Source organism: Homo sapiens, chromosome 17, assembly GCF_000001405.40.
Source record: "Homo sapiens chromosome 17, GRCh38.p14 Primary Assembly".
NCBI lineage: Eukaryota > Metazoa > Chordata > Mammalia > Primates > Hominidae > Homo > Homo sapiens.
Window position 1 is genome coordinate 77,273,695 of NC_000017.11, and position 24,803 is coordinate 77,298,497.

The 24,803-nt window shown below is 52.8% G+C and overlaps 1 protein-coding gene and 1 long non-coding RNA gene across 4 annotated transcripts in view, besides 6 other annotated features; one reads left to right on the top strand and one right to left on the bottom strand.

The window, feature by feature from the left end:
• Positions 1 to 89: 89 nt before the first annotated feature.
• SEPTIN9-DT (SEPTIN9 divergent transcript) lies at positions 90 to 8,203 on the bottom strand. Its single transcript, NR_136503.1, has 3 exons — positions 7,918 to 8,203; positions 496 to 646; positions 90 to 347 (listed from the first exon to the last, which is right to left on the bottom strand). It is a non-coding gene; the product is annotated as an SEPTIN9 divergent transcript (long non-coding RNA).
• Positions 5,887 to 6,534: an enhancer, noted in NCBI's record as "H3K4me1 hESC enhancer chr17:75275663-75276310 (GRCh37/hg19 assembly coordinates)". NCBI's record gives its function as "activates a minimal SCP1, AML or CMV promoter by ChIP-STARR-seq in primed H9 embryonic stem cells {active_cell/tissue: H9 hESC(primed)}" and the evidence as "EXISTENCE:reporter gene assay evidence [ECO:0000049][PMID:30033119]".
• The window catches only part of SEPTIN9 (septin 9), a 219,098-nt gene continuing 202,099 nt past the window's right edge, over positions 7,805 to 24,803 (top strand). For 2 of the 3 annotated variants that reach the window (NM_001113491.2, NM_001293695.2), the window contains exon 1: positions 7,805 to 7,860. In NM_001113491.2, coding sequence (NP_001106963.1) covers positions 7,842 to 7,860 — 19 coding nt within the window. In that variant the 5' untranslated portion in view covers positions 7,805 to 7,841. Of the gene's footprint in view, positions 7,861 to 14,240; positions 14,517 to 24,803 lie in introns of those variants that run through there. The other variant, NM_001113492.2, reaches the window with a different exon arrangement.
• Positions 8,136 to 8,299: a silencer, noted in NCBI's record as "fragment chr17:75277912-75278075 (GRCh37/hg19 assembly coordinates)". NCBI's record gives its function as "represses an EF-1alpha promoter that drives an FKBP-Casp9 reporter gene in an ReSE screen in HepG2 liver carcinoma cells {active_cell/tissue: HepG2}" and the evidence as "EXISTENCE:reporter gene assay evidence [ECO:0000049][PMID:32094911]".
• Positions 11,754 to 12,318: an enhancer, noted in NCBI's record as "H3K27ac-H3K4me1 hESC enhancer chr17:75281530-75282094 (GRCh37/hg19 assembly coordinates)". NCBI's record gives its function as "activates a minimal SCP1, AML or CMV promoter by ChIP-STARR-seq in primed H9 embryonic stem cells {active_cell/tissue: H9 hESC(primed)}" and the evidence as "EXISTENCE:reporter gene assay evidence [ECO:0000049][PMID:30033119]".
• Positions 11,754 to 13,320: a biological region, named in NCBI's record as "MED14-independent group 3 enhancer GRCh37_chr17:75281897-75283096".
• Positions 12,121 to 13,320: an enhancer, noted in NCBI's record as "MED14-independent group 3 enhancer chr17:75281897-75283096 (GRCh37/hg19 assembly coordinates)". NCBI's record gives its function as "activates an origin of replication core promoter dependent on BRD2, BRD4, P300/CBP and CDK7 cofactors, and independent of MED14, by STARR-seq in HCT116 cells {active_cell/tissue: HCT116}" and the evidence as "EXISTENCE:reporter gene assay evidence [ECO:0000049][PMID:35650434]".
• Positions 12,319 to 12,881: an enhancer, noted in NCBI's record as "H3K27ac-H3K4me1 hESC enhancer chr17:75282095-75282657 (GRCh37/hg19 assembly coordinates)". NCBI's record gives its function as "activates a minimal SCP1, AML or CMV promoter by ChIP-STARR-seq in primed H9 embryonic stem cells {active_cell/tissue: H9 hESC(primed)}" and the evidence as "EXISTENCE:reporter gene assay evidence [ECO:0000049][PMID:30033119]".

Genomic DNA, 24,803 nt, shown 5'->3' on the forward strand with positions numbered 1-24,803 from the left:
CAGATGAAACCCCAGCTTGAGAGGAGACAGAAGACCCAGCTAAGCCCCGTTCAGAATCCTGGCCCATAGAGACTGTGACACAGTACGTGTGTGGTTTTAAACCATGAAATCTGTGGTCATTTGTTACACAGTTACAGATGACTAATACAGTCCCTAGGGCATCCTCACGACATGAGGGCTCAGGTGGTCTGACTCCCACTTGGTAGCTCCGGGCTCTGAATGCAAGGAGCCCAGAGAACACAGTAGCAGCTGCAGCCCCTTCTCTGACACAAGCCTTGGGCTCCTCCTGTGCAGGACTTCCCAACATAGCCGCTGAGTCTATCAAAGCTAGCAAGGAAGGGAGTCTGCTGGAAAGACAAATGAGAATCTCTTGCAACCTTATCGTGAAAGTAACAGCCCCTCGGCATGGAGGTATTCTGTTGCTTAGAAAGGAGTTACAGAGGCCATGAGTACCGGGAGGCAAGGATCAGCATAGTCATCTTAGAAGCAACTTACCGTGGGGAAGCCCCCAAGTAGGTGCCCTGGTCGACAGCCCTGGTGCCAGCAGTATGAGCCCGATGAGCCTTCAGCTGGTCCCCAGACCAGACCCTCCATTCTTGGCAGGCACTTCTGCCTCCTCTGTCAGTTACAGTTGGACAGTTCCTCCCTGTGGGAGGAGTTTCAAGGTCACATGGTGGAGAAGCGGGTGGAATGGGAGATCTTGCTGTGGCTGTTCTGAAAAACCTGCTCTGCCACGGCCCATCTTCAGGCCACAACTCACATCCCTCCCACGTGCGAAGTCCACTTGCCCCATCCCAAGACTTCTGAAGTCTCATCCACTTTAGTTTTGGGCTCAGACTGGAGGTCCAGGATCCAGCTGTGTAAACCAAGGCCTGGTGAGGAGGAGACTCCTGGGCGTGGGGGCTCTTCAAGCCCGGGGGTGTTTTCTCCGTGCCCGTGGCTCCTTCCTGAGTTATTCTTCCCTTTTCTTAAAAAACTGAGTTTGCAACTGAGTAGCCCTCTCAGCCCATTTCCTTCCTTTAAAAGTTGAGGCTCTAAAAGCCTCTTTCATTTTGTCCTGTCTTCATCCCATTTAGTGCAAGAAATTAATTCCTTTAAAAACTTGGCTGGGCGCCGTGGCTCACGCCTGTAATCCTCGCACTTTGGGAGACTGAGGCGGGTGGATCACCTGAGGTCAGGAGTTCCAGACCAGCCTGGCCAACATGGTGAAATCCTGTCTCTACTAAAAATACAAAAATTAGCTGGGCATGGTGGTGGGTGCCTGTAATCCAGCTACTCGGGAGGCTGAGGCAGGAGAATTGCTTGAACCTGGGAGGCAGAGGTCACAGTGAGCTGAGATCACGCCACTGAACTCCAGCCTGGGTGACAGAGTGAGGATCTGTCTCAAAAACAAAACAAAACAAAAAACCCAACTTGGGAACTTCCTATGTACTAATCTAAAATTCATTCCGGCCAGGCGCAGTGGCTCACACCTGTAATCCCAGCACTTTGCGAGGCCTAGACAGGCGGATCACCTGAGGTCAGGAGTTCGAGACCAGTCTGACCAACATGGAGAAACCCCGTCTCTACCAAAAACACAAAATTAGCCGGGTGTGGTGGCACATGCCTGTAATCCCAGCTACTCGGGAGGCTGAGGCAGGAGAATCAGTTGAACCTGGGAGGCGGAGGTTGCGGTGAGCCGAGATTGCACCATTGCACCACAGCCTGGGCAACAAGAGCGAAATTCTGTCTCAAAAAACAAAATAAAATAAAAATAAAATTCATTCCATTAGACAAAAAACCTCCCTCAAAAAACTTAAAAAAAAGAATAGATGTTTTCTTTTGGAGCAGCTGTACGTTAACAAAAAAGTTACCTGGAGAGTACAGAGAATTCCCGAAAACTTCCTCTCCCCGCTCACCCCCCCGAAACTTTCCTGCTCATTAACATCTTGCATTAATGTGGTGCATTTGTTACAATCGATGAGCCAATATGAATACATTATTATTAGCTAAGATCCACTGTTTACAGTCAGTTTTACTCTGCGTTTTACACGACATGGGTCTTGCCCAATGAATAATGTCAGGCATCCACCATTACAGCATCATATAGAATAGTTTCACTGCCCCACAAATCCCTTGCACACCATCCATTCCTTCCTCCTTCCCTCGCACCAGCTCCTGATTACTGTTTTCATAGCTTTGCTGTTTCCAGAATATGGTCTGGTTGGAATCATGCAGTAGGCTGCAGCCTTTTCACGTTGGCTTCTTTCCCTTAGCACTACAACGCTTTCTGAGATAAGCTCTTCTCCACCCCACCTCCCAAAGTGCGGGGATTACAGGCGTGAGCCACCGCGCCCAGCTTCAAGTGAGAAAAGACCCTTGTGATTTGAGAAGACCTGCTCTTCAACAGAGAAACTCCGCAAGGAATGCCGCTAAGGTCCTCAGAATGCCTTTGTCTGTCCGAAAGGGTTTATGGGGCACTTTTCCTTTTTTTCCCTGAGGTCTTCATAAAGGATCTTACAGTCCCCTCTGGACTTCTTTGTCCTGAGGCCCTTTCTCACTTTGAGAATCATTTGCTGGCTGAAAAGCCTGTTCCGGTCTTTACATTTCCTCCCAGCTTCACTGGAAAATGAAATCGTTTGCTCCTAGTTCCCCTCTCTCCTTTTCCATTTTATTATAGGCAGAAGGAGCCAGGAGCACCTTCAACGACCTGCCTGGAAAACTCATCAGCTACAGCAACAAGTCAGCTAGGTATGCTCGGTGTCTACTTTCTATGCTATGGCAGGCAACAGTTTTATTAAACCTTCTGCAACCACATGAGAAAGGGTTCCTTTCCTCCAATAGCCAGTAGCATTTTCTTTTTTCTTTTTCTTTTTCTTTTTTTTTTTTTTGAGATGCAGTCTCGCTCTGTCACCCAGGCTGGAGTGCAGTGGCATGATCTTGGCTCATTGCAGCCTCCATCTCGCAGGTTGAAGCAATTCTCTGCCTCAGCCTCCCGAGTAGCTGGGATTACAGGTGCCAGCCACCACATCTAGCTAATGTTTTAATTTTTATTAGAGACAGGGTTTCATCATGTTGGCCAGGCTGGTCTCGAACTCCTGAGCTCAAGCAATCCACCCGCCTCAGCCTCCCAAAGTGCTAGGATTACAGGCTTGAGCCACCGCGCCCAGCTTGCGTTTTTCTTTTTTCTTTCCTTCCTTCCTTCTTTCTTTCCTTCCTTCCTTCTTCCTTCCTTCCTTTCTTTTTTTCTCTCTCTCTCCTTCTCTTCTTCTTTCTCTTTCTTTCTCTCTTTCCTTTTTTATTTTATTTTCTTTATTTTCTTTTTTTTTTGACGGCGTCTCGCTCTGTCGCCCAGGCTGGAGTGCAGTGGCTCAATCTCAGCTCACTGCAACCTCTGCCTCCCGGGTTCAAGCAATTCTCCTGCCTCAGCCTCCTGAGTAGCTTGGGACTGCAGACACACCACACCACGCCCGGCTAATTTCTTTATTTTTAGTAGAGATGGGGTTTCACCATGTTGGCCAGACTGGTCTTAAACTCCTGACCTCAGGTGATCCACCTGCCTTGGCCACCCAAAGTGCTGGGATTACAGGCCTGAGCCACTGCACCCGGCCTCTTTCTTTTTTCTTTTCTTTTTTTTTTTTTTTTTTAAAAGATGTGATCGTCGGGCATGGTGGCTCACGTCTGTAATCCCAGCACTCTGGGAGTCCGAGGCGGGTGGATCATGAGGTCAGGTGATCGAGACCATCCTGGCTAACACGGTGAAACCCCGTCTCTACTAAAAAAAAAAAAAAAAAAATGAGCCGGGCGTGGTGGCGGGCGCCTGTAGTCCCAGCTACTCGGGAGGCTGAGGCAGGAGAATGGCGTGAACCCGGGAGGCGGAGCTTGCAGTGAGCCGAGATCGCGCCACTGCACTCCAGCCTGGGCGACTGAGCAAGACTTCGTCTCAAAAAAAAAAAAAAAAAAAAAAAAAAAAGATGTGATCTCACTATGTTGCCCAGGGTGATCTTGACCTACTGGGCTCAAGTGATCCTCCTGCCTCAACTTCCCGAGTAGCAGGGTCATGCACTTTTGGGCCAGGATCATCTCTTAACCTTCCTGCAAGCCCTTGCCAACTTCCTCCAGGCTTCTGCCCACTGCCTGCGCCTAAAGCCAATGCCATGTGTTTCATATTTTAGTGACCAGAGCACAGTGAGGCACGTCAGACCCATTAGCTTTCTAATCACCACACCAGCTGTGTGAGTTGGGGGTTGGGTACTGCCCTCCCCTTTCATAGGAGTGGGCACTGAGAATTGGGGAAATTACACAACTGGTCATAAGCACTCAATTAGGAGGAGGAGGAGGAGGAGGAACAGAGTGTTTGAAAGACAATTTTTAAAAATTGGATAGCACAGTAGCCTGGGGACATTTGCGAAGGAGTAAGATGGCGGCGTGTGCGTTGATAACCGTTCAAGGTGCCATCGTGACGGTCCTGAGCCAGGAGGGAAAGAGTCATATGTTTGCTATGCTCTTCTCACCAAGGCAGGGGATTGTGTCATATGTTTTAGAGAGTTGTCTGTGAAAAACAATTAAAACTTGATGCTTAGGCCGGGTGTGGTGGCTCATGCCTGTAATCCCAGCACTTTGGGAGGCCAAGGCAGGCAGATCACTTGAGGTCAGGAGTTGGAGACCAGCCTGGCTAACGTGGTGAAACCCCATCTCTACTAAAAATACAAAAATTAATCGGGCCTGGTGGCAGCAGGCACCTGTAATCCCAGCTACTTGGGAGGCTGAGGCAGGAGAATCGCTTGAATGTGGGAGGCAGAGGTTGCAGTGAGCCAAGATCATGCCATTAAACTCCAACCTGGGTGACAAGAGCAAAACTCCATCTCAAAAAATAAAAATTAAATTAAAAAAATAAAAAAAAAATAGGCCAGGCGCAGTGGCTCACACCTGTAATCCCAGCACTTTGGGAGGCCTAGGCAGGTGGATCACCTTGAGGTCAGGAGTTGGAGACCAGGCTGGCCAACATGGCAAAACCCCGTCTCTACTAAAAATACAAAAATTAGCCGGTTGTGGTGGCGTGTGCCTGTAATCCCAGCTACTTGGGAGGCTGAGGCAAGAGAATTGCTTGAATCCGGGAGGTGGACGTTGTAGTGAGCTGAGATCATGCCACTGCACTCTAGCCTGGGTGACAGAGGGAGACTCTGTCTCATAAATAAATAAATAAACCAGGTGCGGTGGCTCACACCTGTAATCCCAGCACTTTGGGAGGCTGAGGCGGGGGGATCACCTCAGGTTAGGAGTTTGAGACCAGCCTGGCCAACATGGTGAAACCCTGTCTCTACTAAAAAAGAAAAAAATTACAAAAAAAAAAAAATTAGCCAGGTGTGGCGGGCACCTGTAATCTCAGCTACTCAAGAGGCTGAGGCTGGAGAATCACTTGAACCTGGGAGGCAGAGGTTGCAGTGAGCTGAGATCGCACCATTGCACTCCAGCCTCGGCGACGAGGGCAAAACTCCCTCTCAAAAAATAAAAAATAAAAATAAATAAATAAAAACAAAATTTGAGGCTTAAACAATTAAGCTTCGTGCATCTCTTTAATTTTTCTTTTTTTTTTTTAACTCTAATTTCATGACAGATTAAGCTTCATGCATCTCAAAAATGTGTAGAACCCTCATTCCCAGCCTTCCCTCCCTCTCTCTTGTCCTTCTTTCTGATTTCTTGGAATCGGAAGGAAAATTCGGATATCCAGGAACCATCACACAGGAGGCACCCATGTGATGTGTCCAACATCACTCCACGCAGGTGTCCTTGGGTCCTGGGTGCCCAGGTTCCTGTGAATTGTGACCCCAGGCAGAAGCGTGAGCATCCGCAGAGGAACCCACCTACCCAAAGCCAGGGAACAGCCAGGGCTGGCATCCTCAGGGTGACTGTGCTCCAGGGCACCTCTGACTTGTGCTGAGTAAAATGGACAAAGCCAGCAATGCACCCATAACCCAGATTCTTGAGACACCGCTGGACTTTGGGAATCCCAGGCATTAGGCTCGTGGCAGTGTCATCATGGCTAGGCTGGGGGCAGTGTCATCATGGTGCTTGCTGGCCAAGTCAGGACACGGCCTAAGCCGGAATCTGCTGGTGCTGGTACAAGCGGTGAGTGGGCGTGTGGGTGGGGGTTGCGGTTAGGGTGTGGACATCCCAGAATCCAGGACGCTGTTCACAATTCGTCCATACTCCCTGCTCCCCTCCCTTACAGCACTTCCCTCCCGAGGCCTCCTGAGCCTCTAACCCCCAGATAAGGAAAGGGGTGGACTCAGTTGAAGTCCAGTGTCCACTCCGGTCCAATCAGCTCTACCTGGGGTGAGGGGAAACTCCTCTGGCTGGGCTGCTCCCTCTGCAGGGCTGTGGCTGGACAGATTACTCAAGAAAGGAAGCAGGTGGGCCGGAACGAACCCACGGTGCCACATAGGCCTCCGTTCTCATGCATATAAGTTTCCCACACTCAGGCAGGAAATGAAAATGCTTCTTGGACCCCCAAGGAGAGTAAAGGAGAGGGGAAGAGGAGGAGGATTTTTCGGGGCTGTTAGTGACACTTTCAGCCTCCTGTGCATTTTTGGGAGGGCTGCAGGAGAAGGCAATGCTGCGCCCCTACCCAGAACTAGCGAGCGCTTCCCAACTGGCCTCCCGCCTTCCTCTCGTCCTCTACGGCCTCCATTGGCAGCTGTGCAAGGGCCCGGCCCTGCCTCTGTCTCTCCACACTCGCTGTGATACCTCAGGCCTCCCAGGCTCCGCCACGCCCTTCCCTCTTTCGGGAACAGCTGCCTTCCATCACCTTGGCTGCCTGGCTAATTCCTGCTCATTCCTTAAAACCCTGTTTTGATTTCGCCTCAATAAAACTCTGACACCACCCTCCAGTCATAATTAGTCACTTCTTCCTCTGTACGTTGGAAACACCGCTTTATCGTGGAGACTTTAAGGATATCCAAGTAGAGAGAATTCTTCCGTGCAAGTTTTGCATCCTCTCACCACTGCCTGCGTTACCCGAGTTGTAAAGGGCGGCTCCCTGTGTCTGCCCCGCTGCACCGATACACCGAGCTGCGCACGGTGCCCAGCGCAGGGAGAACAAATGATCATCTGTCCAACGCGCCCATTTACAGGTGAGGAAACTAAGGCTCCAACTCAATCGACGCACTCTGCCCTTTTGATTACCAGAAAAGTAGCAGGACAGGTGTCCTGTCCCGCCCTACCCCGGCCCACTAAGCCGGCACCCCGGCTCCGACCCCCGGCTGTGCCCGGCGCCGCCGCGGTGCCCGGCGCCGCCGCCTCGCCCGGCGGGGCCGCCCGGAGCGCCCGCACCTCCGCCCGCTTCCACCTGGCCGGGCCCGCCCCGCCCGGACTCGGGACTGGGAAGTGCGGCGACTCCCGGAACCAGCCATTGGCGCCAGCGCGGGGAGCTGGGGGTGCAGAGCTGCGGGCGCGGCGGGCCACGCAGGCGGCCCCCACCCCCGGCCTGGCCTGGTCTGGTCTGGTCTGCGCTGCCGCGCGGGGGCGCCCCCTCCCAGGCCCGGCGCCCGCCAGCCCCGCTCCGCCAGGTGCAGCGCAGCGCAGGGGTGGGCGGGGGTGGGGCTCGGCGCGCACGTTCACGGGGCGGGGAGGGGGCGGGTCAGGGGCGGGACCACAGCCGGCTGGGCCGGGGTTCTATGCGCATCTCCGGGGAGGGGCGGGGCGGGGGCGGGGCCGGGGCGGGGCCCGGTCGGTGCACTCCAGACGGCGGGCCGCCCCCTCTTCCCGCCTTCCTACTACCGGCCCAGGATTAGCGCCCTGGGAGCGCGCGCCCCGCTGCCTCGCCGCCACACTTTCCTGGGAGCGGCGGCCACGGAGGCACCATGAAGAAGTCTTACTCAGGTGGGCTTCGCGCCCGGGGTGGGGAGGGGTCGGTGTCCCGGGACCAGCGCTGCTCACCTGAGTGCCTGCGGCCGGGAGTGGCGAGGCGCCCCCGGAGCTGAGCGAGTCCCCGCGGCGGGCACACTGCAGGTCGAGTTCCTCCCAGGACAGGGCCGCTGTCGGGCCGCTTTCGACCTGAGCCGACCGTCCCCTGCGCTGTCTCCAGCCCTTGCTCGAGTGTCGGAGGGGCTGCCCTGGGGGACGCTCCCTCTTCCTCGCCCCTTGCACCCTCGCAGGAATCGCTGACTTTCCAGGTCGGCCGGGTGCTTTGGGTCCCTGTGCGTCTGTGTGGGTGAATGGGGTCGGGGCTAGGTGGAGGGGTGTCCTTGGGTTCAGCCTCTAGGGCTGGTGGTCCAGGCCGCAGCATCCTTTCTTCGGATTCTCTTCGGTTTCTCCTCTACTTAGTGGGGCACGGGACGGCCTCCAGATGGGACCGTCCAGCAGCGCCCAAACTTGGCGACTCGGGTTCACGTTTTGCGCTCAGGACGCCGCCCGCGGCTGACATCCTCACTCCACCCTAGCAGGGCCCGCCTTAAGTAGGCGAAGGGGGCCTGACTTGGGCCTCACCATGAGCCGGTTCAGGAGCTTTCATTTCATAAGAGGCTCCCGCTCTGGCACTCTGAAGTTCCATTTCACAGATGGGCACACCGAGGCCACAAGGGCAGGTTAAGAGAAATCCAGATCTTCATTATTTGTCTTTTCCTTCCTTTTTTTTTTCCTTTGTGGTTTTCTCCAAAGGATCCAGGCAGGCAGGATCCTTTGTCCTCCTCAGTCCTCAAATTATAAATAGCGTCTCCTCTTCTAAATCTAGAAACCGTTTGTTTAATGTCCCTCCTTTAATTCATTCAGATAGAAAGGTACCTGCCAAGGATCCATGAATTAATTTTTATTGATAGGAGAACAGAATCATGGGCCTTAGTTGGAGGTGAAGGAGTCATCGGGGCCATCCCCCTGCCTTTGGGCCATTGTCGGTTTCCTCTGGCTTTCCATATTTAGGAACCAAAATGAGTGATAAAGTACCTTGTCTCAAAGAGGATTACTCAGAACTTCCCCGAAAATACCCTTCTGGGTCAGTAGCTTAGAATTTCAACTTTCACCCGGTTGTTGCGAACAAGATGGCCCTCTACGCACCCGGAGCACAGCTCTGTCAGGAGCGTGGGTGGGTTGGTGTGCTGGTGGGCGGGAGCGGGCTTCCAGGTGGCACATGCTTGGTTTTGGCACCGGGGCTTCCTCCCCAACATGCTCCAAATACTTGAGATTGTTGTGGGGATCGCGCGGTGCATGGCCCTTTCCAGGGGATCTCTAGCCCGCCCAGGGAGGGCCCTTTGCCCTTGGTTTCTTACACTTTACCTCCCACTGGTGGGTCCAGACAGTGGGGGTGACCGGGGTCCTCCCAGGTCGTGGGTCCTGGGTTTTTTCTGCGGAGACCCTCCTGCACAGATGCCGGAAGGGCCCTGAGGCAGGCTTGGAGTCTCTGCACCTGCGGCTTACTGGGAGGTGGGGAGACCATCACTTGTCCTTTTCTCCTCTCCTCCACACACACCTACCCCACCCCTCACTGGGTTTCTTTTTTTTTTTTTTTTTTAAAAAAAAGGACAGAACCTTTTGCAGTAGGTGGAAGTAGAGTTTGTGGAGTGAGCAGGAACCAACTCTTGTACAGCAGCCTCGGTGCCTCCTTGTGTTTACCTAAAGGGGCAGGCCCCTCTGAGGATGGGGGAAGGGAGGGCTCAGACCATTTCTGGTTTGCTCCCTGCTTGGCAGTGGCCCAAGGTGTGCTGGGTCACTGTGTTGCAGTTGTATGGAGTGGGACTGGAGGGGGCTGATGGTGGGGGTGGCCTCTTGCCCTCATTCTGAGTGTCCTGGAGCTGTCTTGGCACCAGCCCTTTTCCGGGTACGGGCACTCGCAGGAGTCAGGCTGACCCCCCAACAAGCCATCGACACCATGAAATTAAGGAAAGCAGCAAAAGATGTTAAAAATCCCCCAAGGCTCTGACAATCCAAGGACAACAGGAAGGTCTTTATTTTTTCATCTAGACTGTGCGGGATTATTGCTTCCAGACCTGTATGTGGGCTTCAGAATAAACGGAATGACCATAATGTTGTTCCCGGTAGACCTGGTTTGAACATTCGTGAGCCTCTGAAAAGGAGAAAGATTTTAGAAGGATGTGTTGGGGCAATCTCAAGTACCGTGGGTCTATAGACAGTCATCGAAGACACTTTATGTGCTGGGCACACATGGCCAAGTCTGAGTGGGTACAGAAATGGTAATGAGATATAGTCCTTGCCTGCAGAGAACTTACATTCTCACCGGGAGTCAGGATGAGGGCGAGACACCAGCTCATTAACACCCTTCCCTCCTGAGCAGTTCAGCCTCCAAATACTACAGGAATGCCCCGGAGGTTTTAGGTGGAGGTGAGATTGAGCTGGGCCTTGAGGAAGGAGAAGTCTTGAGTAGTGGAGAATAAAAAGGGACTTGGCCAGGTGCGCTTGAAGTCCCAGCTACTCAGGAGGCTGAGACACGAGGATCGCTTGAGCCCAGGAGGCTACTCAGGAGGCTGAGACACGAGGATCGCTTGAGCCCAGGAGGCTACTCAGGAGGCTGAGACAGGAGGATCGCTTGAAGCCAGGAGTTCAAGGCTGCAGCCCTGTGACAGCGCCTGGAAATAGACACGGCACTCCAGCCTGGGTGGCGTCATGAGACCCCATCTGTAAGAAGGTCTTTTCCAATGCGGAAGGCAGCAAGGGCCCACACAGGGCAGCTGCAGGATCCAGGGGGACACTGGGGACAGGTTCTCTCTGGCAGCTCCACTGCTGCTCCAGGCTTTCCCGATTGCCTCACCCGGCCTTCCAATGGGGTGGAGGTAGTGGTAGTCTACAGGCAGTGTGGTCCAGTGGTTACACTTGGGGGCTCAGAGCCGCCAGCCCCTTGGGATTAAATCTCACCAGGCTGCGCCTCTCCCTGTGGCACAAGGTTCTCACCTCATGCATCTCATTTGCCTCATTTGTTTTTTTGTGTGTGTGGTGTTTTTTAATTTTATTTATTTATTTATTTTTGAGACGGAGTCTCACTCTGTCTCCCAGGCTGGAGTGCAATGGCATGATCTCAGCTTACTGCAACCTCCGCCTCCCAGGTTCAAGTGATTCTCCTGCCTCAGCCTCCTGAGTGGCTGGGATTGTAGGAACGTGCCACTGCGCCCAGCTAATTTTTATATTTTTACTAGAGATGGGGTTTCACCATGTTGGTCAGGCTGATCTCGAACTCCTGACCTCGTGATCTGCCTGCCTTGGCCTCCCAAAGTGCTGTGATTACAGGCATGAGCCACCACGCCCAGCCTGCCTCATTTGTTAAATGGGACAGTGCTATGTTGTTGTAAAGGTTAAACGAGTTCATATTTGAAAAAGCTGAGAAATGCCTGCTCTGTAACCTGTTAGCTGCTGTCATGATCATGATTGTCATTGACAGGAGGATGGAGAAGGCTGGGGTTACGCCATTGCTAGGACGTTCCAGAAGCCTCCATGATCTTCCCTTACTGTGGTCAGAGCATGGTGCAGGGTCTCTCCCCCAGCCCCTCAGCACTGGAGCCAGCTGCACTGTACCCGCCCTGGCTCTCTAGGTTCTGAGTTTTGGGACTCCCTTTGCATACTAGGTCACATGGAACTTGCCGTCATTCCCAGGCTCCCCTGGAAACTCTCTGTGGGTGGCAGCGGCAGGAGGACTTACCCGAGGCCGATGAGCCACAGAAGCGGGACTGAGGTTGCGTCACACCCCTACTGGCACCTGGGAATTACTCTGGAGATTCTTTTTTTATTTTTTATTTTTTTGAGATGGAGTCTTGCTCTGTTGCCCAGGCTGGAGTGCAGTGGCACGATCTCGGTTCACTGCAACCTCTGCCTCCCAGGTTCAAGCAATTCTCATGCCTCAGCCTCCTGAGTAGCTGGGATTACAGGCATGTGCCACCGTGCCCAGCTAATTTTTGTATTTTTTAGTAGAGATGGGGTTTTACCATACTGGCCAGGCTGGTCTCGAACTCCGGACCTCAGGTGATCCACCCGCCTCAGCCTCCCAAAGTGCTGGGATCACAGGCATGAGCCACCGTGCCCAGCCACTCTGGAGTTTCTCTGTGGCTTTCAGGAGATTCCTGAAGGGGCACCAGCCACGATTAAAAAGCTCTATGCTGTCGTGACTTCTGAGTCCTGGGCAGGGAGGGAGGCTGCACCCACACAGGAAGCAGCTTCTGCCGTGATTCAGTGTGCTGGCTCGCCGTGGTGGACAGGGCTGCACCCTCACCCAGCGCCCCGGGAGCTGACTTACGGGAAGGGCAAGGAATTGCACCCTCAGAGAACACTTCCCCAGTCAGCTAACCCGGTGACAGGCGAGCGTGGGAAGGGCACAAGCACAGGGTTTCTTCCTCTTCTCCCCCAGCCCCGTCTCCGCGCCTGTTCTCGCTGCCTCTTGCCTCCTCACGTCCAAGCTTGTCTGCTCTGGCGCATTCAGGGGACCTGGACTGGAGAGAAAAAGCCACCTCGTACGGTTAGTCTGTGGCTCTGTCTGACTTGTGTCCTCCGCCGAGGCCCCTCAGTTGTGAGACAGCTGGCTGAGCCTAAGTCCTGGGGCCAGCCCTCTCCCTAGTCTGTTGCAAAGGTAGAAAGGCATGCCCAGGCAGGGGCCACCTGCCCTGCCCGCTCACGCCAGACCGCAGGCACTTGCCCGTCAGATCTCCCCGGCCTGCCCAGAGGGATTCTGATAGCCGAGGGCAATGCACCTGGCAGCGGAGCATTGCGTTTGCGACAGTCCACCTTCTTCCTGGAACCACCCCCCACAAGTGTGACCAGCTCAAGCCAGGACAGGTACAGGGGGACCCAGGATTGCCACTTAGGGGCAGTGGTCTGGAATCCAGGTCCAGGTGACATGGGAGCCAACCCTCTGCTTGGAGATCCCAGGTGGGTGTTTGCAGAGGACATCTCACTTGAGGACCCATGGAAGGGGACACTTCCCACCCCCTACCTGGTCCTTGGGCTGCCCTCCTCTGACACTCTCCTGCCATCCCAGGCAGCCCTGACAGCCCCATGTGACTGGGACCTAGAGGTGGCCCCTGTTTCCGCCCCAGTGTTTGTCCACAGGCAGTGTTGCGTGGGCTCTGAAGTTTGCCTAAGATGGACCTGATAAGGGGAGTTCAGTACACATCAGTGCAGGCCCGGCCAGGGGGTGATGATGGCAGTTCCTGGGCAGATCCAGCTGGCTTTAGGGTAGGAGGGGCTCCAGAGAGAGGCTCCAGGCCCCTAGGGGTGTGAACCTTTGGGGTGAGGCGGGAAGTGACGCGCTGGGTTCCTGCGCCTCTGTTTGTTGGAGCTATTACCTTGGAAACATCCCAGCTCTAGGCGGTTGCCAGGGATTTATGGGGATCAGTGGGTGCCAATCCCTGGGTGAAGCCCTCGGGGCTTGTACACAGCACACAGCGCTGTGGCCCCATGGCTCACTTTGCTGTGTGAAGTGGCTCAGTCTCCGGGAGAGTCCTTAGCCAGGCAGGCCTGACGGCAACTGCCAGGTCATGGTGATCTGGAATCGCTGACCAAAGGGAGTCAGTCCTGGTGGGTGGAGGGACTTGGTGGGCAGCCATCGTGATGCCAGGCATGGGGATCGTGTGTCACCCAGGCCTGTGGGTGCCGAGCTTCTGTGGGAGCAGTGAAGTGCCCCCGTGGCCGATGGGCTGGTCACCCCTGCCCCTTTCCTGATGTGACAGTTGTGCCTGGGCCCCGGGAAATTTGCCAGGAGGCCTGGCATTGGCCTGCTCTACTGGAGCGGCCCTGCTGAGCTGTGAGCTGCCCGTCTCCCTGAGGTTCCTAGCCCATTTCAACTCTCCATGTGGATTTGGTCATTCATTCCAGAAGCGTCTGCCGGGCGCTGCTGAGTGTCAGGTTCTGTTTGCCTCCTCTCCTGTACGCTGGAGGCTCTGGGCACCAGCTCTGCAGGGTGGCCTGGCCTTGGGTCTCCAGGGTAGAGCATGGCACTCTCTGCTCCCAGCCCAGTTTCTCTCTGCTTTATCTCCCTGACCCCACCCTGGGCATGGGCCCATTTGCAGCCCCTGTGAAGGGAGACATTGAGCTGTTGCTGGCAGAGGAGGGGCGGCTCCTGGGCACTGCTTGCCAATGGCCTCTCGGCAGCTCTGTGACAGCTGAGCTTTGTTCCCAGCCTAATCTGACCTGGTTCTCCAAAGCATGACTGTTGGCAGCCTGAAAACCTCCAGGACAGGAAACAGGAGTGGCGCAGGGAATGTAAGATGATCCCAGCTTCAAGTCACTGGGCGGCCCTTAGACCCAGGCTGCCTGCTGTCTCTGGCAGGAACTCAAGTCGCTGGTCATCCTCAGAGCGGTGTTGGCCCGGGGCCTTCAGTGGCCTTTGTGTCTGGGTGAGAGGAACCCTGGATGGCCACTCTGCCCTGAGTGTGTGGGTCCCCAGAAGTGCTGGGTTAGGGGGCACGGAGGGCCAGAAAGTCCCCTTTGGAGCGCTGGACTCTCTCGCTGACTCCTACCCCACCCCGGCCTGGGGTTTCAGAGAAGGGGTCCAGGCAGGAGTGTCATCTTTTCTCAATGGGGATGTGGCTTCAGTCTCTGTCCAGGTGGGTGCATTGCTCTCTTTCCGGCTCCTCCCAGGCTGCTTAAATGACCTGTGACGAGGCCTGCGCCATGGCCGGGGCCCTCTGCTTTTCCCAGCGCTGCACCTGGGAACCAGGGGTTGGGCCCCGGAAGCCGAGGATGTCCCTGAATGCCATGCCTGGGCACCTGTCCTGGCCAGGCGAGGCGTGTTGGGGCAGCGGCTGAGATGGGAGCAGCAGCATTGCCTGCCAGGTTTGAGATGGGCCCCGGGTGAGTGTGGTTACCAGGAAGGGCTGGGCAGAGCAGGCGGGTGGGCCGCCCCTGGGGCCTTGTTCCGCAGATCAACCTGATCCGCACCCTGGGGCCGGGGCTTCCTTTCACAGCCTTCCCATGAACTATGGCTCCTGTTTCCATCCCAAATCAGATCCCAGAAGAGGAATAATGTCCATGTAACCCAAGCCAGTTGGAAGTGGGTTACATCCAACCCCTGTCATCTTCCAGCTTGTTAAGGACTTGACTAACTCAACCCAGAGGGATTTGGAGGGTTGTCTGCAAAACCCACTAATAACAGGGAACTTTAGCTCTGTAGCCACAGGGTCTACAGAGGTGTCGGGCTGTCGGGTTATTGCTGGGAGGTGAGCCGGTGGCGTAGACACCATGGAGGCACCGGTAGTGGAAGAGCTGCAAGTGCACACAGAGGCCGGCACCGAGGGGCGGGGAGGAGGAGGTGGTGGATTTCTCGCCAGTGTTGGCATCATGTTGCCTCCAGCATCAGAGACCCAAGGTGTGGCTGACCTTGGCTGGGGCGATGAGTCATTGGATAGCAGAGCCTTCCTGGTAGCTGGGGGTTAACGCTTTAACTGCCGGGACTTTGTATTATGCCGCTTCTTTTTTTTGTTTTGTTTGGTTTGGTTTGGTTTGGTTTTTGAGACGGAGTCTCACTCTGTCACCCAGGCTGGAGTGTGGTGGCTCAATCTTGGCTCACTGCAACCTCTGCCTCCTGGGTTCAAGCAATTCTCCTGCCTCAGCCTCCTGAATAGCTGGGATTACAGGCACGCGCCACCATGCCTGGCTAATTTTTGTATTTTTAGTAGAGATGGGGTTTCGCCATGTTGGCCGGGTTGGTTTCAAACTCCTGACCTCAGGTGATCCACCTGCCCCGGCCTCCCAAAGTGCTGGGATTACAGGCATGAGCTACCGCGCCCAGCTTGCATTTATGCTTTTTTTTTTTTTTTTTTGAGATGGAGTTTCGCTCTTGTTGCCCAGGCTGGAGTGCAAAGGCGCGATCTCAGCTCACTGCAACCTCCACCTCCCGGGTTCAAGCGATTCTCTTGCCTCAGCCTCCCAAGTAGCTGGGATTACAGGCCTGCGTCACCATGCCCGGCTAATTTTGTATTTTTAGTACAGACGGGGTGTCCCCATGTTGGTCAGGCTGGTCTCGAACTCCCGACCTCAGGTGATCCGCCCGCCTTGGCCTCCCAAAGTGCTGGGATTACAGGCGTGAGCCACCGCACCCGGCCTATGCTTTTTATTATTATTATTTAATTTTTTAAGGAAAGCAATCTAAACTGTACACTGTATCTTTTCTTTCTCTTTTGCTTTTTGTTGTCAGTTTTCTGTATTACTTATTGCCAAACAACATGAACAGGAAATTGAAAGGAAAACTTCAACAATCATTGGCTGTAGCATTTCTTCTGTGTTCCATTCAGTGCTTGTCTCCTCAGGAACATGACATAGGGTTTGATTTAATTATGAAAGGCGTATATTTTCAGAGTTTTATACTCCCCATAGAATGAATGTTGAATTCTGTTCTTTTCACTTGAAATTAGATCTCAGGCATGGATTTCATGATTATCACTATAATGGCTCTTCAGAGTGGACATTGCATCTTGTAGGGAACCACCCTCTCCCCAGCTGCTGGTGTGGACGCTCCTCCTTGATGGTGTGGGTCTGGGCCCCTGAAGGGTGGTGTCCTGAGTAAAGATGTTACAGTAGCCATGCTTATAGCTTTGGGCCTGGGGCTAGGTGGAGACTGGCTTCAACCCTAGAGCTTGCTGTCTTAAAATAAATTCTTTTTTTTTTTTTTTTGAGATGGAGTCTCGCTCTGTTGCCCAGGCTGGAGTGCAGTGGCGCGATCTCCGCTCACTGCAAGCTCCGCCTCCCGGGTTCACACCATTCTCCTGCCTCAGCATCCCGCATAGCTGGGACTACAGGCACCCGCCCCCACGCCCGGCTAATTTTTTGTATTTTTTTAGTAGAGGCGGGGTTTCACCATGTTAGCCAGGATGGTCTCAATCTTCTGACCTCGTGATCCACTCGCCTCAGCCTCCAAAGTGCTGGGATAAAATAAATTCTTAGGGCCGGGAGCGGTGGCTCACACCTGTAATCCCAGCACTTTGAGAGGCCGAGGCGGGCAGATCACAAGGTCAGAAGATCGAGACCATGGTGAAACCCCGTCTCTACTAAAAATACAAAAAATTAGCTGGGTGCAGTGGCGGGCGCCTGTAGTCCCAGCTACTCGGGAGGCTGAGGCAGGAGAATGGCATGAACCCGGAAGGCGGAGCTTGCAGTGAGCCGAGATTGCGCCAGTGCACTCCAGCCTGGGCGACAGAGTGAGACCCTGTCTCATAAATAAATAAATAAATAAATAAATAAATAAATTCTTATACCCACTTGCATTATTTATTATTATTATTATTAAACAGGGTCTTGCTGTGTTGCCCAGGTTGGAGTGCAGTGGCGTGATCATGACCTCCCAGTCTCGACCTCCCAGTTTCAATTGGTCCTCCCTTCTCAGCCTCCTGAGTAGCTGGGACTACAGGTGTGCGCTGCATGCCTGGCTAATTTTTTTTTTTTTTTTTTTTTTGAGACAGAGTCTTACTCTGTTGCCCAGGCTGGAGTGCCGTGGTGCAATCTCGGCTCACTGCAACCCCCGGCTCCTGGATTAAAGCAATTCTCCTGCCTCAGCCTCCTGAATAGCTGCGATTACAGGCATGTGCCGCCACACCTGGCTAATTTTTGTATTTTTAGTAGGGACGGGGTTTCACCATGTTGGTCAGGCTGGTCTCAAACTCCTGACCTCGTGATCCACCTGCCTTGGCCTCCCAAAGTGCTGGGATTACAGGTGGGAGCCACCGCGCCTGGCATGCCTGGCTAATTTTTAAAAAATTTTTGTAGCAGCCGGGCGCGGTGGCTCATGCCTGTAATCCTAGCACTTTGGGAGGCCAAGGAGGTCGGGAGTTCGAGACCAGCCTGACCAACATGGAGAAACCCTGTCTCTACTAAAACTACAAAATTAGCTGGGCATGGTGGCACATGCCTGTAATCCCAGCTACTCAGGAGGCTGAGGCAGGAGAATTGCTTGAATCTAGGAGGCGGGGGTTGCAGTGAGCTGAGATCGTGCCACGGCACTCCAGCCTGGGCAAAGAGAGTGAAACTCCGTCTCAAAAAATTTTTGTTTTTGTTTTTGTAGCGACAGGGTCTTGTTTTGTTGTTGCCTAGGCTGGTACTGAATTTCCAGCCTCAAGCGATCCTCCTGCCTCAGCCTCCCAAAGCGCTGGGAGTACAGGCGTGAGTCACTGTGCCTGGCCTCCACTTGCTTTGGCTGCCTTTCTCTGTCTTAGGTAACCATACATTTCTCCAGGTAATTAAGAAAAGATTGCGCATGATGAGTCCCTTTTCTGGTATTTCTGGGATTGCCCCCAAAACCAGACAAGTGTTCTTACCTTGACATTTTATTAAGACTTTAATGAACAGAATGCCGTTTGCCCTCAGTCTGCTGGTCCCCCTGCGAAGGCCCAGGGCTTCCTTGTTTGAAAAGTCATCCCCTTGTCGAGGTCTTTGATTCCTTTTCACCACGGCAGTCATGCCGAGGGTCCACAGAGCCACCCCTTCCCCATCTCTTCCTCGGCCCCTCAAGACGCATCTGTACCCCCGGAGATGTCTCTTTGTTTTCTTGGGCCACCTCTCCTGGCCGTCACTCACCCTGCTGACTCATTACTTGTGCAACAGTTTCTTCTGGAACCCTCAGGCTCCTGCCACCTACCCTCTGCAGTCCCCGTTTTGTTCCTCTTGCCTCAGTCTTCCTCCCCATCACCCCTCTACCTGTTGGTCTCCATCTCTGTCTATGGCACATCCCTGTGTTATACTCTGATGGCTGGATAAAGGTTGAGTGAAACGCATCTACCCCTTTGGTGACTGGGGTGCCCATTAATCAGAAGGGATCCAAGGCTGGCGTAGCCTTTTCCCGCATCCTGGGGTATCGTCCTGTGGCTCTTCCTTGTTGGAGTCTGCAGTTTTTTGTTTTTTTTTTTTTAAATTTTTTGAGATGGAGTCTCGCTCTGTCGCCCAGGCTGGAGTGCAGTGGTGAGATCCCAGCTCACTGCAACCTCCGCCTCCCGGGTTCAACCAATTCTCCTGCTTCAGCCTCCCAAGTAGCTGGGACTACAGGCGCCCGCCACCATGCCTGGCCAATTTTGGTATTTTTAGTAGAGACGGGGTTTCCCTACATTGGCCGGGCTGGTCTCGAACTCTTGACCTCAGGTGATAGGCTCGCGTCGGCCTCCCAAAGTGCTGAGATTACGGGCATGAGCCACCAGGCCCGGCCGTTGAGATTACCTTCATAAGCCACCAGGCCTGGCTGTAGTTGGCAGTTTTTGACCACTGGTCTCGCTCCACGTGATCTGTGATCTTCCCCTTGGCCCCCTGGCCCTGCCCTGTTCATCTGCTCACCTTTCTCATGCATGCGGTTTGTTCATAGGGTATGTAATGGGGTCTAACCAGGAAATGGAAACCGCTTGAGCATTTATTTATTTATTTATTTATTTATTTATTTATTTATTTTTCCCAAGACAAGGTCTCACTCTGTCACGCAAGCTGAAGTGCAGTGGTGTGATCACAGCTCATGGCAGCCTTGAACTCCTGAGCTCAAGCGATCCTCCCTTCTCAGCCTCCCAAGTAGCTCGGACTATAGGTGCACACTATATGCCTGCCTAATTTTTTCTTTTATTTTTGTAGAGACAGGGTCTTGCTTTGTTGCCCAGGCTGGTCCTGAACTCCCAACCTCAAGCAATCCTCCTGCCTCAGCCTCCCAAAGTACTGGAGCTACAGGCATGTGCCATCACGCCTTGCTAATTTTTGTATTTTTTGTGTGTGTGTAAAGACAAGGTCTTACTATGTTGCCCAGGTTGGTCTTGTACTCCTGGGTTTATGTGATCCTCCTGCCTGGGCCTCCCAAAGTGCTGGGATTACAGGCGGGAGCCACAGTGCCTGGTCCACTTGAGCATTTAGAACAGAAGGACTTAAAGGCGGGGAACTAGTTACACAGATGATGGGAGAGGTGAAGGCCAGACAGGGAACAGAGAGGCAATCAGCAGGAAATCAAAGTGGTGTGGGCTTATACAGCCCTCTAAAGGTATGGATGCAATGATTCATTTAGAATGAGAAAATAAATAACAGCAAATTATAAATTATAAGCAGCTGTTAAATATCACAAACATCACTACATGCAGAAGAGTACCAGTCAACTGTCAGTCATATCTCCAAAGTTCTATTTCTCCCACATTTTTGGCATTACTTCTTCAATATGATGACTTTGTAATATCGTTTTCTATTTCGAGAACAGAAAACTGATCAGGCTGGACACAGTGGCTCGTGCCTGTAATCCCAGCACTTTGGGAGGCCAAGGCAGGTGGATCACTTGAGGCCAGGAGTTCAAGACCGGTCCGGGCAGCGTGGCGAAACCCCGTCTCTACTAAAAATACAAAAACTAGCAGGGCATGGTGGCATACACCTGTAGTCCCAGTTACTTAGGAGGCTGAGGTGGGAGGATTGCTTGAGCCCAGGAGGTCGAGGCTGCAGTGAGCCGTGATCATGCCACTGCACTCCAGCCTGGGTGAGAGAGTGAGACCATGTCTCAAAAAAAAAAAAAAAACAACAAAAAAAAACATAGGCTGGGCGTGGTGGCTCACGCCTGTAATTCCAGCACTGTGGGAGGTTGAGATGGGCGGATCACTTGAGGTCAGGAGTTTGAAACCAGCCTGGTCAACATGGTGAAACCCCATCTCTACCAAAAACATAAAAAATTAGCCAGGTGTGATGACGCACGCCTGTAATCCCAGCTACTTGGGAGGCTGAGGCAGGAGAATGGCTTGAACCCAGGAGGCAGAGGTTGCAGTGGGCCAAGATCGTGCCATTGCACTCCAGCCTGGGCAACAGAGTGAGACTCCATCTCAAAAATAAATAAATAAATAAAGCGAATGAATCTCCTTAGTTGATCAAATTTTGTTTTTATTTTTGGTAGTTGGGATGTATACAAAAGTGGCGGTCAACATGGAGTTGGTGGTGCTGCTACAATTGTTTTGTTCAAGATACACAGGAATTCTGGTAAATCCTGTTTTTTTCTTTTTTTTTAAATGTGATTCCCATCAAGAAAGAAGTAGGAAAATGGGGGAGATTTCTAACTGCATATGAGGCATTTGTGCATGTATTTCTGACCAGAGAGACTTTTCTGTTTTGACTCCACATTGAAGGAACTGAATCCTTTGCTTACAACTTCACCTCTGGTGATGGGAGTAATTTTCCACAGATTTGCTTCTGGACCCGTGCATTTCAAATCTTGCTTCTCTCCACTGCGCACGTTTTTCCGGCGCCAGGCACCGCAGGATATGTTCGTGTCTTGTGATTTTTGATTCTGCGCGGTAGGTGGAATTGGAACGGTGAGTGGAGCGAGTATTGCTGGAATCCGTTTCCACACCGGGATAGCGAGCAGTAACTGAACTATACATGGAAATAAATGGGAACTACATAAATATAACCCGACCAAAGCCAAACTAAATATCTTTCCAGTTCAACTTCTCCTTAGCAGGAGCCCCCACGTGGCAGCAAGCCTCCGTTTCCACCTCACACAAGAGAAAATGTGACGGGCAGGAACTCAAGACTGGAAATGAACGGGGACGTTAATTGATTGTAGGGAAAATATTTTCCATTTTGTAAATTTTACAAAAAATGTTTGACCCTGTGGACATGTGGTTAGGGCCCTTCTCAGTGCCTTGAGAGGGAACCATGCAGGTAGAGGGAGGGTTCTTAGCATTGTGGGGGTGACCTGGAGATTGGCAGCAGGGTGCCACCACCACCCCTAGGTGGGGATGAGAGGGAGGAAGTCCTGTGACCAGAGTCCAGGGGCCAGAGTCACCTGCTGGGAGCCCAAACAAAGGTGGGACTCTGGCAGGAGCTGGAACTACACAGAGGACCACCTCTCCTGCTGGAGAAGCTGTCTGAGGCAGAGGAGGTGGAGAGCTCCCGCGCCCTCCCTTGCTTCCACCTCCCAGGTTCCTCCCAAGCCTCTCGTTGGTTGAACCCAGCCCAAAGCCAGCAGGCCTGGGGACCTGGACACCTGAGCCAGCAGAGGTCGGCGTTTCTCCCACACAAAGGAGGGCACAAGAAGTGGGAGGCACGGAGGGGGATCAGGCCAGGACCCACACAGGATGTGCAAACAGGAGCTCCCCTCTCTTCCCACCCCAAATGGCATCTGCAGCCGGCCTCACTTCCCTGCTGTTAGACAGGAAGAGGAACCTTGTTCCCGGCACCAGCTGCCCCCACCGCCCCCCACCCCACGGAGGCCCCTTTCCTCTCTGGCCTTTGCTTGCAATCATTGGCGACGCTGATGGACCATATCTTCTGGGGAGTTTGGTCATGAACATGGTTTCCCATTTGTTGTGGACCAAACTGTGCCCTTCCCCTTGAATTCCTGCGTTGAAGCCCTAACTCCCAATGCAGCTGTAATTGAAGATAGGGCTTTTAGGGAGGTAATTAAGGTTAAATGAAGTCATAGGGCAGGACCCTAATCTAATAGGATTGATGTCCTTATAAGAAGAGGGAGAGACACCAGAGATCTCTCCTCCCCCCTCACTTGTAAACAGAGGAAAAATGACGGAGGACACAGCAGGGAGGTGGGTACAAGCCAGGAAGAGGGGCCTCGCCGGGAACTAACCCTGACGGCACCTTGATCCGGGACTTTGGGCCTCTCAAACTGAGAAATACATGTCTGTTGTTTAAGTCACTCCCTCCACAGTAATCTGGATGGCAGCCTGAGCTTACCAAGGCACCGTCTGCATCAGCCAGGGCTCTCCAGGGAGACAGCCAATAGGAGATGGATGGATGGATGGATGGCTAGATAGACAGACAAGCGGACAGAGAGAGAGAGAGACAGGCAGACACAGACAGACAGGCAGACAAATGGCTAGATAGACAAGCAGACAGAGAGATAGAGACAGACAGACACAAACAGGCAAACAGACAGGCAGACAAATGGATAGATAGATGATAGATAGCCAGGCAGGCAGATAGACACAGACAGGCAGACAGACAGACAGACAGATGATAGGTTGGGTTCAGTGACTCTTACCTGTAATAACCAGCACATTGGTAGGCTGAGGCCGGTGGATCACTTGAGGCCAGGAGTTTGAGACCAGCCTGGCTAACAGGGTGAAACCCCATCTCTACTAAAAATAGAAAAATTAGCTGGGCGTGGTGGTGCATGTCTGTAATCCCAGCCACTCGGGAGGCTGAGGCACGAGAATCACTTGAACCTGGGAGGTGGAGGTTGCAGTGAGCTGAGATCACGCCACTGCACTCCAGCCTAGGCGACAAAGTGAGACTCCATCTCAAAAAGAAAAAAAAGATAGATAGATGAATGGATAGATAGCTAGATAGATGACAGATGGATGATAGGTAGATAGATAATTGATAAATAGATATAAATGACCGATGGACAGGCAGACATAGATACATTGATTAGGTAGATGATAGATGGATAGATAGAAGATAGATGGTGGATGGGTGGGTAGATAGGCAGATAGACAGTTAGAAAGATAGATGATAGATAGATAGGAAGGAATTTATTAGGGGAATTGGCTCATACCATTGTGGAGGCCAAGATGTACCACAGAAGGCCGTCCGCAAGCTGGAGGCCCAGGAAAGCCAGTATCGTGGCTCAGTCCAAGTCTGCAGGCCTCAGGACTGGGAAGCTGTTGATGTAACTCTTAGTTTAAGGCCAAAGGTTTGAGAGCCTGGGGAACTGCTGGAGAACTGGGAGTTCTAAGTCCAAGGGCAGGAGAGGAAGGCATCCCACCTCCAGGAGAAAGAGGGAATTCACCTTTTCTCTGCCTTTTTGTTGTCTGGCAATGGAATGGTGTCATCCATATTGAGGGAGGATCTTTACCACTCAGCCCACCAACTCACATGCCCATCTCCTCCAGAAACACCCTCACAGACACACCCAGAAGCGATGCGTTACCAGCCATCCCTTAATCCAGCCAAACTGACACCTGCCGTCAGCCACCACACAGGCTCAGAAGAATCGTGGTTGCATGGTGATGGTCTCCATCCCGTCTAAAGAAGTTGAAGATGAACTGTTGGCACAAGCCATCGTTCTTTCAGGCTCCTTCCAGTCGTTCATTCTTTTAAAAATGTATTCATTGAGCACCTGCTGCATGCCAGGTGCTGTGACAAGCACTGGGGCACAGCAGTGAGCAAACAAGGACTCTTGTTTCTTGGAGTTTACATGCAGTAGAAGGAAACAGAATCAATGAATTCATCAGTTCTAGAAACTATCAAAATAGGACTAAGAGCTGTGGTGAGAATTAAGATAAGGTGATTGCATAGAAAGTGACTGATGGCTGCTTTGGAATGAGTGGTGAGGGGTCACAGAGATGATGACAGCTGAGTTGAGATTGGGAAGACAGGAAGGAGCCAGCAGTGCAAGGACTAGGCTGGAAGCAAGCTTGGTGCATTCCAGGAACAGCAAGGAGGCCAGAGGGGCTGCAGTAGAGCAGGCGAGGAGGAGGAGGGAGACGCAGGTCAAAGAGGAGCCTGGGGCCAGATGGAGGACCCTCCCTCCAAAGCTCAGTCATTTCCTCCTTAAAGGAGAATGTGTTACCTCCAAAAGTCACATATGCCAGCACAGTGTCTGGCTCATCATATGCCTTCAGTAGGCGGTGAGCATGGCTGTTCTTGTTATTACTACATCACAATTACTAGGAATAATGGAGTCACCAGGCTTTGCATTTACAGCAATGTGAGGGAGTCAGCAAGCTTCCCTGGGGAACCCATCTCCCCTCACTAAGTTCATAAGAGCCTGATAACCAGGTCAATGTAGTGAGAGCTATAGCTGCCCAGTGTACTGGACTCTTTAGCCACGGGCCAGGACACTTTCATCTCAGCAGAAACCTCTAAGGGGACTGGGGAGTGTGCTGTGGATGTTTCTGGGTTACTCAGACCTCCTGGGGAGCCTTCCCCACCGCAGCTGCTGC